Genomic DNA, 12314 nt, shown 5'->3' on the forward strand with positions numbered 1-12314 from the left:
CATTCAACAAATGTTAGTTTATTATTGCTATTGTTGTTATCATAGCATTTTCTAGTTTGCTTGGCACTTATGCCTATCTTTTCTCATTTTAGCCTCATGATAACCCTGTAAGTTAAGTAAGGCAAATGTCATAAATAAGGAAATTAAGGATTTTTTTTAAAGTGACTTGTTCATGGTCCCAAAGCTAGAAGTGTTGCTAAGTGGGGCTAGATCCCACATCTTTTGACTGATAATCTATCTCTCACCATATCATGATGTCTCCTTCTCAGCATGCTGAATAAATAGGTGCCATTATTTCTGGCACATTGTCTCTTTAATAGCCACATATTCTTAGGGTTCCAGTTAAGGTTGAGAAGCTGAGATCATGTTGGCTTCTGAGATCAAAGATAATTTTACTGACCTCAAATTGTATACCAATATGATGATAGGGTGTTGAGATGCCCAGGGTAAAGGAGTCACATTTGATAAAACCTTGTGTGGATTATCATCTTTTCATAATGGCTAAATCTTTTATGATACCGTTCAAGCTCAGTGACTTCCCAAATCATACTAATAAGTACAAGAAGTGTTAGCAAAAGAGATGAAAAAATTGAACTTGTAAATGAGACCTTTGTACCAAATTCTTGGATGTTTTTTCTTCAAAGGCTCATTCAGGGATCTTGAATTCTTCAGTGGGTTCTTGGTATCTTATGACATAAAGCATCCTCCCATTAGGTCTGGGAAAATCACCACAAGCATGCCAATAGTTCTGATATCTTAGCAACAAGGATCTTGCTTAGATCCATGCTTGCCTTTCCCCAAATCTGGATTGAATTACTGGAAGTTGAACGATCTAGCTCTAAAGACTGCACAAACATTATAAAAGAGAGCTCTGTTAACACCAGATGGCCTTATCTGCAGATTTTTAAAATGTAGACTATAAGAGAGCCATATAAGCATTGTCCAGAGAGACAAAAGGAAAGAAAAATACAAGCCACAATGGTTTGAAATATCCAGCTCTATTTTATAGAACCTTGACTCTACTGATGTTCTTCAACCCCAATCCTGCAGTTATTCATGTGGATTTTAACGAGAGTAGCTAGTGAAATTCAAGCTCAGATGTAGTCATTGAACCAAATAGTATAACGACTAAGTTGGAGATTTTAACTCACGACACTTGCCTTTTGTTGTCTAGCTTCAATACTATTTAAGAAAATAAGTATTTCTAGGTTATTTGAGGGATTTTGACATGGATGCAAAATATTAATCTGTTCTTTTTCCTTTGGCCCCAGGAGCTGGGATGAAATCACATGATTTCATCATTTTGAATCCATGCGGCTCCTCTGAGATAGGGCCAGATGTAACCAGAAGGATTTATAGGGTGTAAAATTCAGAATGGATTAGAAAAGCCTTTCTATGTTCAGCCCAACACATCCTAAATCAACGTCCCCTGAATGGACCAGAGCAATCTCTGGCTGGCCTAGTGGGGAGGTTGTCATGGCAACTGACTGGCAAGCTCAGCCAGTGGAATGTGAATGCAAACAATAGAGTGATAAGACTGTGTACAGAGCAGCATACTAAGGCTGCTTCTGCCCAGGTACAGTGGCACATAGGTGAAAGTGTGAAACTGTTGCTGCATTTTGTAACTTCTTAACAATCTCTGGCAGCTCATTTGAAATTTACCAAGTGCCCTTTCCCAGATGTTGGTAAAAACATTCCTGCTGATAGATAACAGAAGCTATGGAAAAATCAGCACCCAGCTGATAGGTGCAGAGGTATACAAAGCCCTGGAGGGCTGTTGGAATAACACTACTCAAAAATTTTCTGAAGGAGGTTGAAGCAGGTTTAAGGTAAATCTTATGACTCTTCAGTGCCATCTTGTGTCCTTTTAGATACTGACAATTTACTAGAAGCCCACTCTCAGACCGATCATTAGGCAGCAGCAGGGCAGACATGGAAAAGTTAGAGCTGGATTATATTGGAGCTTGGTATTCCCTTTTACAGCAGAATATGCACACCAAGCCTTCTGAGCTTTAAATTGATTTAAAAAATTGAAATTAAAAATTTTGGTAGAATCTGGAAATAAAAACAGAATAAGATGCCAAATAATGCCATGAAAAGATTGCAAGAGTCTACATGGTGCGCTAGGGGTTGAGGGAAGGGATGGAAAATCTAGATTTAGTGTTGAAGATTCTTACAGATAGATTTGGTATTGAGGATTCTTACTGTTGTCATTACTAACTCTTGCAATAGAATATTTTTAATCTATTCAGTCATGCTGATAATGCAAATGAATCAACAGAGAAAAATAAAATGTGAACATCACCAATTCCACTTTATAACTCTTTTGTTCATGGTTAATGGAGTAAGAGATGGTAGCATTTGCTTAAATGGTACCTCATGCCCACCTCTAATCTCTTACCTACCCCAAACCTACCACCCACTGATGTCTCACCATCACCTCATCACTATTGAAAGCCATAATCAAGTCCCATTTAATTTCAGAAATGCAAAATAACCAAGATGTGTTTCTGTGTGTTTCTTCCAGGGTTTGAGTTTTTTGAAACAAGTGCCAAGGACAACATTAATGTCAAGCAGACATTTGAGCGCCTTGTGGATATCATCTGCGACAAAATGTCAGAGAGTTTGGAGACTGATCCTGCCATCACTGCTGCAAAGCAGAACACGAGACTCAAGGAAACTCCTCCTCCACCGCAGCCCAACTGTGCCTGCTAGTGTCCCCGTGCACACAGGCAGCTCCAGGGGGCTCTGGTTGCCAACAAACAGCATTTGTAAATGGTCTATTAGCCTTCATTTATACTGCCTAACAATTATTTGAAGGAATAAATTGATGTCAATGGCTCGTACGCATTCAATTCTTGGGAGCTTTCCTGTTTAATATGTGGCAAATATGTGATCTTAAATTTATAAGGACTATCCATCTATAAACATCTGGTACCTGCATGTGACTTGTTATTTATTTGTCTGCTAGGCTCTTTTTGTTTCAAATTTGTTCTCAGACTACTTCTGGGACATCAGACTATAATCTCACTACAACTGGCTTTTGTCCCATTGATTCAAATTATGCTATTCACTTGTAGGAATGATGACCAAGGAATTGCTTGTGTGTGTGTGTGTGTGTGTGTGTGTGCACGCATGCCCGCATGCGTGCAGAGGAAGAAGTCACAAGACTTCATTTGCTTTACTCTTAGTTGAAAATCAAATGGAAGTTTTTCTCATGATTAGGGACGCTGTCACGAGTCTGGTCAGTTTACTGTTGGGAACTGTGTCTTTATTTCACTGTTATTAATAACTGAGATCATTGGCCTATAAAGAAATTGAAATGTTGTTTTTAAGGTCCTTGCAATTTTCCTAAGTCATTAATATTACCTGACTGGGGCTATTTAACAATAATCTTCGTTTACACATTTAAATAAGCAAGTATCTACCCAGGACTGCTTTTTCCACTGATCCTTCCCAATTCTGTGAATATTCAACATCATTGAACAGATTGAGACATATCTACTGAATGCCAGTTATGCAACAAGCATTTTAACCAAGAAGGGTATGAGTAGCTATGGAATTCCAAGGTCCAAGCCCCCTTATTTTTCAATGACTTGCCTTCCCCAACCCCCATAATGCACACCACCACCACCATCACTTTCTGGAACCATCACCAACTCTTGGACTAGAGCTTATGTTGAAGCTTGTTAGGGCTCCTCTTTCCGTAGGATGTAGACTTGCCTCCCCAAACACGGCCATCTTCTCAAACCTCAGCTAAGTTCTTTTACCTGTTTAGATGCTATTTAAATCAGATTTCAAAGGGTCCCCAGTTGAGAAAAAGGAAAATTTTAATCTTTAATCATCTTTTTAAGTCCAGATGTTCATAAATTCTAAAGCATATTCCTATTACGTGAATGCTTAAGTTACACAGGAAACATTCTATAACTGTAGTATTTCAATTTCAGAAATATTTAGGATCCATAGCAATTTAAAAGAGGGAGGAAACCACTGGAGCATTCTAATTTTGTATCACAAACTTCCTAAAGGACCTATATGAATAAAGAGAAAACAACAAATCCTACCAGCTGTACAGAGAGCAACAGGGAAATTTGGCCTCTGTATCACTGTCCAGCATTATTTAAAGCTAGGATTTAGGAAGGAAGCAGGAATTATTTGGCAGATTTGGAAGGATAGTTTCGTTAAGTGAACTTTCTACTTTTTTGGTGGTTATGTCAAAGAATTTTTTTCCTCTTCTCAAAAATAGAGAGGCTTCCCATGAAAGTATTGGATGCAAATGAAACAGGCATACATCTAAAGATATCTTTGGAGAATAAATCCTTACAAGTCACAGAACTAGGTCACACACATTAGTAAGTCAAAAGTTGGAAATTAGGGGAGAGAGCATTTGGAATGCTTTAAGCATTTCCATGTTATTTCTCACCTTCCTAGTTGAAGATCCACTAATCAGTAGTACATTTCTACTTTGGTGCCCTACAAAGCAAACCTTAGCATAGTAAAGACAAGAAAACATTAATGTTTTATTAGTTTTTAATGGGGCAACCAACTTCAAAATCACAGGAATTACAGTGACGGGAGAGAAAGAAGCAGGAGGCATAAAAACAGATTTGTTTGTAGCAGTAGTCTGTTTGTACAATGTTATAATATTTCTGTAACTTGGGCCAGAATGTGGCCATGTTAAATGATATAGCTATTAAGCTCACTTTTACAATCTAAAAGGAACTAATAAAGCCAGGAAACCCTTCTCATCCTCCTTCACAGCCCTCATCCCACACATAGATGTAAAAAGCTTAGAAAGAATATTCTGATGGCTTTTTCAGAAGGAAGGACCTTGATGTGTGTATTGTGGTAAAATGAAAAGCAAAATGAGACAGTATTTAAAAGTGAAAGAGCAGAGTTTTGCTCTGCTGAAAACCCCTTCCCTGAAGAACTGATTGCTGTTGAAGTTAATTGGCCCTTAGATGGGAAGCCCTAAGCCAAGCTCCCACTTACACAGTGTCAAACATCCCGAAGTGGAAACATTTTATGCCAGTCAGGGGAGAGACAGGCAACAATAGCCCAAATGTCATTGCCAAGAAACATCTGATACTTTCTAATTTCTAAACCCCAATGGAAGTGAGGCCTTTTTCATTGATTCTCAGTTCTGAAACTCCCACCCTGTTAGGATTTCCATTCCAAATAATTCAATGAGAGGTTTCCAGAGAAACAGTCACAGAGCTCAAGAGAAAGAACACTTAAATGCTCCTGCTGTAATTGCATCAAAAAATCCGGGTTTTAACATCAAATTTGGCAAATGGTGGGACCAACCCAAGGTTAACTAAGTGGGCTTTCATTGGCATTGAGCTATGTTACTTATAAATTATAACACTATAGTTCCAAGGTTTTTCAGCCTTTTGGCCAACACACACACACACACACACACACACACACACACACACTATACCATCATCTATCAATAGTCTAAATACATAAATAAATGCAGGTCATTTTTATCAATGGCCTAACTAAATTTATATTTAAAAGAACAAGACTTTTAAAAAGTACATACTCCTGTTGGTTTGTAAGTTATACACATTTATCTCTTGTCTTTGATTTAATTAAATTAGTGTTTTAAGTATGAATTTATTTTCCTTTGCTACTCATTACCTGACCACTTTCACTCCTCTAGATACCCTTAGGAATAAACCTGAACTGTTCCAAATCGATTCTTCCAAGAGCTTTGGTGTTGGTACCTTCCTTTCTTTTCCTAATGCAACTGAAAAATTAGACTGAAAATTATTTGACTTAAATAGCCATCCTCAGAGTGAATCAGCATTTCAGTTTTTGGAGATGGGGATGGAAGTAGAAGGTGCACAAAGCGTCCTAAGATGGCAGTTTGAATGTTAGCATCGCATCTACATGCTCATAAGAGGAATTGCTTCAGGACAATGAATCAGTTCATTGTTGCTGCCCCCAGTGAACAGCTCCAACTGCCTTGATGAACTTCTAATGACTGTGAAAGCTAGGAGGTTCTTCTAGTTCCTCCTTAGGGTCACTTGAAGTTCAGTATTTTTTTGCTGCCTGGTAACTAAGTGCTAAGATTTTTACTTGGAAAGAAAACTATGACAATGCCTTCAGTTGTAGCAGAAAGTTGTGGCATTGTGATAATAAACAAAATCTACAAAGTTACAACCCAAATTATACAAGACATCAAAACACTCAGTAAACAAATATATATATTTCACCTACTTAAATCTTATTCATATTAATTATAGGCCTTTTGTTTAGTACACTGGTTATTTTTTAAGGAACCAATTTAAACTTTCAATTTTAAATACATCTATGCTGACGATAGACTTTCGGGTATATACAACCTTCTTCTTCTCTTTTAAAAGTTAAATACATTCCACTATTAACTGAACTTCCATGAAGCAACATTAATTTTAGAGCATGGTAGTCCATAATCAGTGGTTCATTGTGATGTGCTTTATCCAACATGTATCTTAGTGCATGGTTGAGGATGTACTATGTGATATTTTAGTTAACAGTGTGGCATTTGTGGGACTATATTAAAAGCATATCCAAACTACCAAGCTATACCAAGCTGAGGTAGGTAACACCTGCATGTGAAAAACTGTGATATGAATCTTATTTATAAAAAAGTCATAACTAAAACCCTTCTAGACCAAAAAGTTACTGTGTGTTTGTTAATAATCTTCATAGTACTACTGGAATGCTCAATCAGTTATTTTTGGTGTGGCATACTTCAGAGCTGGCCTGTCCGTCTGAAGAACCCTTTCTCTCACAATTACAGTTTGCATGACTAGAACCCGGAACTCTGTTCCTTTGCGTGTATAGTCACTTAGTGTGCTGTCCGGGTGCCACATGAGCAACTACACCCATGTGGCCTTTCTGTCACTCCCTGGAAAATGCAACCTCTACAGCTCTGCTCAGCTCTGCCTGTGTGCATTGATTACCTTCGCTTTAGTAGTTTGCCTGTAAAATGGTGAAGTCTTTCTGATATGCTGAACCTTTGAGCCAGCTTTTGGGAGTTCTTCATATTTTAGGTGAATTTTTGACCAAAGTCAATTAAAGACATAAACCTGTTTTATATCATGGAATTTACTGGGCCAAATTAAGTAAAAGATGAAGTTTATGACCAGAATAAAAAAGCCTTTACCCCTGCACAGCACTGTATCTAAAGGGCTCTAGGTTGTAGAAATATAGTACCCCCTAACAGGGAAAAACCAAGTTGGGGGATTTATCTAAAATGTATCTACCTATTGTTACTGGTATTTCACAAATAATTTTTTTCTTAAAAATATTTACAGAAATGCTTGACACTCCGGTCAAATAATATTTCCCTTTGATAGATTGAAATATTTGCTTTTAGATTACACATACAGTGCTGCCCTTCTCAACAGTCACTCACACGCTCACTCGCCTGTACAAAGGTATCAGGCAAACACTGATACTTTTTTTTAAGAAGGCAAAATTCCATCTATGGTGCTTTCTCAGTGCTAGGGAAAAGGGAGCTTTTACTATGTTCCAGCTATAACTCACATCTTACTTATAAGGTCCATAAAATCGGTTCTTCACACTGATTTCGTTTGATTAGTCTGTGCATGTAATTAATTTCCTCCAAACAGAGAGAGTGGAGGGGAAATAAATTTTGCAAGCATTCTAGATAACAGAAATGAGTCATTTTAAAACCTCACTCAGAGCTCGAGTGTTAAGATCAGACCATCTAGCTAGTGGACAAATTGAACTTTCTATTTGCAGTTCTCTTTTACTTTCTGACTTTCTTTTAAATTACTGCAGTTTTTCAAAACACTATCCTCATGGAATGACAGGACCAAGAATAGAAAATGAGACTCAAATTTCACCATTTACTTCCCATCAGCAACCATTACTGGTGGAGTTTCAAACAGTCATTACTTGCTGAAATGAGGTTTGAGGTTACCTGTGTATTTCATTCACCTGTGTTAATATTTCCTTCATCGTGGACAAGTGAGAGTTGGCTGTGGCTTTATTTCTTGAGGCAAATTATTTTGCATTCATGTTATTTGGGGCTAGGTATTGCTTAGGTTCGTGAATGCTGTTCTTACAGACACAGATGGTACCTGAGCCCCTCAGACACCTGCCCTTTCAGGGACGTGAGCATGACTTACATCTGTCAAGTGGTTCCATACTTCTTGTAAAAGTAAAGTTTGGGTATTGTTTGCTGTATCAATATGATGGCTTTCCATGCATTGTCTCATTATCCCTAGGATACGTGCTAAAGGAAAACTGTCCTGTAATTCCTGTTAATATATTGTTAATGTCAGACGTGATGTGATACCGTTAGACTGTCCAAATGTACAACAATTTAATGGTGTTTGTAGAACTGATATGTCTTAAATGTTGCATGAAATATGTTATAAAAATAGATTTGTTTTCTATTTTCAACACCTCAGAATTGAGGGTTCATGGGCCAATAAGTGCAATATTTAATGACTCACTCAGTGTATATAAACTAGTATGAAAGAGTGAATTATAATGAATGTGTGAGATGCTTTGATAGCTGTGTGACTTATTCAAATGATTTTCTTGTAGCTGTATTTGTCTAGTGGTGCAATTTATACAGTAAATATCTTATTGGTGTCATGTAAAACCCCTCTGTGCCTACTTCAAAATACTTTTTTCTTATAAAACCAAACATTTAGTATCTGGAAATATGTGTCAATTTTATCTCTTAGAATTGTGGATTTTATTGTCAAGACAGAATGGCTGTTCATTTATTTTATAAAAGCATCTCCTTCTATAACTCAAAATTTTCTTTAAGTGTCATATAAAAGTGTACATTTTACTTTTAAGCAACTAATTTAGATACCTAAGAAAAACTATGTGCATTAGGAAAAGTCATGTTTTTCTTCTCAGAAAGGTTGATCACATGACATGTCTACTAAGAATTTTCACCTCTGTACTTGTATGTATATTTTATTGTTACTCAATCTTGTATTTTATTTACAAATTCAACACTGTCAACCCTGGGAATTCTAAAATACCAATGTATTTTTAGGTTGTAGCTAATGTTGTATTCACTTTCAATTCTCAGTTGTCCACACTGGTGATATAAGAGGAACAAATCAGAATCATTAAATACTTTGTAATGCCATCATAAACTCATATATTCATCCTCAAACTCCCTTGTTTAATGCTAATTGGTGGCCTGGAACTTCACTGAGATGCAAAATCAAGAACTGAAGCCTAGTTGCTAGATAACGAAAAGCTATAAATGTTTATGTATGTGAATTTTAAATTAGAATAACCGTCTTAAACTCCTACTTGCCATTTCTAAGGCAAAGCATTCATTTTAATATTGTACTTTGCCTTTTCATTCAGTTAGTGGAGTAAGTCATGAAACCCTTAGGAAGAAAAACAAGTTATGACTTATTCACTAAAATTGATGCAAGACAGTTGGTTCTAGATGACCATGGCCATGTGTTCATCATATAAAACCTTCAGTTCTCTCTATGGTGCTTGGCTGGAGATTGACATGTGAGGATGTGCCAATCATATTAAATGGATTTGGTCTATGTGGGTGATATGTGGCCTGAATGTAACTGTGATAGACTGAAATTTGTTCTTAGCTCTCAAAATCCACTGAAGAAGTCAAGTGAAGGTGGGTAAAATAGGGAGATTAGTGACAACTTTGTGCCAAATTTTTTAAAAAATGGAAGCAGGTAGCCAATATTAGAATGATAATTTAAGGGTGTGGTTGAATTTTAGTTAGTTGTCACATAGTTATTGAACCTCATATGCTCAGTGCTGTGGGAATCAAACATGGAAGAGGTATGGCTCCTGCCCCTAATGAGAACAAGGGGGAAAAATCCAGATATAATCTAAATGCTAGGTTATGTCAGGGTATAGGAACACAGAGAATGGGGGACCTGTAAGAACTGGAAGAGTCAGAGAGGGCTCCATTGAAGAGGTCAAACATAATTCCGGAAAGAATTAGGTAGTGAGGAGATTGTGCCAGGAAAATAAGTGGGAAAGGCCACAGTTATGTTTCCTTTGAATGGAAGAGAGACAAAGCTATCAGCTATAGATCATTGTTTTCTTAAGACAGCCAAACTGGCCCTTTGAAACCATTCAAATTACCCCAGTTTAGCTCCCTACCTTTTAGTCTCCGTGAGGAAGACAAGCTGTTGCATTATCATATTCCTCTGTGCTGAGCAGCTCAAGACTCAGCCACAATATGCAAATTGCTTTAATGCCATATTACGGCAGTTGATTTAGACATTTGCCAGTGCACCAAACCATGAGAGATTGTCCGACCTAATGCCACCTGGCAGATGTGTACCCAGAGATTTTTCTGTAGCTCCATGTTTCCCATAAAGGGCATTGGAAATGCACAGATGAAGATCTTCCTTTGGAACCAGGCACATTTGGCCCCTTCTCAGTGACTGCACTGTGGAACTCTTCTTAAGAAAATATTGAAAACAGCTTAATGCTTTCATATAGTGACCGACATTTAGTTGAAAACTACTGCTGCATAGCAAATATTGTGACTCTTCATGTGTCCACAGGAGCTCTTGTGTGGGTTTAAAGCTATGAAGTGTATTCACATTGTGAAGTTTTAATTATCTTTATTGAAATTAATTGTGTAAAAATGGTATGTGCTCTATTAGGTATTCAGTTTGTATGTGAATTCTATAAAGAAAGTGGTTTTTGTTCTTTGAGTTTGTTTTATTTCTTGAAGATTACAATAAATATCTAAGAGACTATATTCCTGAATTTCTTAGCCTTAGTCTGATTAATGTTTTTCATCTCCTTTCAATTCATATTATTTTTCATCCTAGGATGCTTATTTCCATTTCTTCTCCCACTTCTATAATCTTAGGTACAACACTGAGTTTGAACTGAAGATGAAGAGTGAACACATTTAGGGCTTTGAGTATCTCACACATGAATTTGGACTTAGGCACAGGAATGAATTCTAATACTTGTAATCTTTCAAGGTCGATAACTTTCTAACTGACCCAACTGACTGGGTTCCAGAGTTACAAAGCTTAGCTGTAGGATCAAGAATAGCTGCTAAGGGAGATAAAGGTCTTCAGGTCTGCAACTTGAAGACCATGTGTCCCTAAATGAAAAGTCTAAGGTTTGATGATCACTTAGCACCCTACTGGCATAGCCCGAGGCAAGGGCGGTCAACAGAGAAAACATGTGGATGGGATGTGTGAATGGAATGGGTGTCATTTAATGCACAGTGCTTGGTGCAGTGATGATTAGGATGCCGTGCAGGATCTCCTTGGCCATGGGCCTCAAGGCATGGGGAAGCACCCAGCTACCAATCTATTTGTATCACAGCAGACCTACTACTAATTTTGCAATCTTGTAGCATTCTACTTGTACTAACAGCACTGATTCTATGGAATTTCTTCCAAATGTTCCTCAGGGCAATTTCCAGGAAGGAGTCTGCACTGAAAATCAGTCAAGGGGGAAGGTCCCTGGAAGAGCCACATGAGTCCCATGGGTCAAATTAGCTTCCTGAACTGAACTTGGTAATAGAAGGGTAACCTCCCTGGGTAGACAAAGCAAGTAGCACTTAAGAAACCAAAAAAAAAAAAAAAGAAAACAATGATAATAAATTAAGGGATTTCCAGTTATATTATCAACAAATACTTACAAAATGCCTTCTAATGCTAATTTATCAGTATTTATCAGTATTTATCAGTATTTCAGTAATTTATCAGTATTTATCAGTATACATGAAAATACATACTATAGAGTCCTGACCCTCCATGAACTTAAACCATTGTGATAGAGGAAAATGTGTAAGTTAATATCAATAAAAAACTCATCATTGATAAACTAAATATTCCTTAATATATATGTCTAATAAATACTTAAAATGAACATTGGAAATTTGTTTCATTTCAAAAGAGCTCACAAAAATTTCCTCTTTGAAATGTTGTAAAATGCATTTTTTGGACTGTAGTCCTTTGCCCCCAGATAAATATATAACAATCAATAAAAGTCAGTTCAAAACTTAAAAAAAAAAATTAAGAGCCCAGAAAGACTTCACATGTTTCCTGATTATTCTGAGGCTCTTGTGGCAGAACCAGATCCAACTGGTTTTAGCAGGAATCTGCCTGTACCCTATTCCCTCAAGTAATATGCCCTTAGCTTTTTTAAAATTAATTTTAAAACATGAAGTTACTATGTGGCCACTTACTCAATAGCATTGAGACAGTAGGCATGAAACAGAAAACATCTGTCACCCTCAGAAAATGCTAAGTCATTCTCTCCTCAACTTCCTAACAGACTTGAAAAGGACACCTTCTATA

General features: G+C 37.1%; 1 protein-coding gene across 2 annotated transcripts in view; it reads left to right on the forward strand.

Moving 5' to 3' along the window:
* The window catches only part of RAB3C (RAB3C, member RAS oncogene family), a 277243-nt gene extending 266485 nt beyond the window's left edge, over positions 1-10758 (forward strand). For both annotated transcript variants that reach the window (NM_001317915.2, NM_138453.4), the window contains exon 5: positions 2528-10758. In NM_001317915.2, the coding sequence (NP_001304844.1) occupies positions 2528-2715 (188 nt within the window). In that variant the 3' untranslated portion in view covers positions 2716-10758. The remainder of the gene's footprint in view (positions 1-2527) is intronic.
* Positions 10759-12314: the final 1556 nt, after the last annotated feature.

The sequence above is a fragment of the Homo sapiens genome, chromosome 5 (assembly GCF_000001405.40).
Source record: "Homo sapiens chromosome 5, GRCh38.p14 Primary Assembly".
NCBI classification, from domain to species: domain Eukaryota; kingdom Metazoa; phylum Chordata; class Mammalia; order Primates; family Hominidae; genus Homo; species Homo sapiens.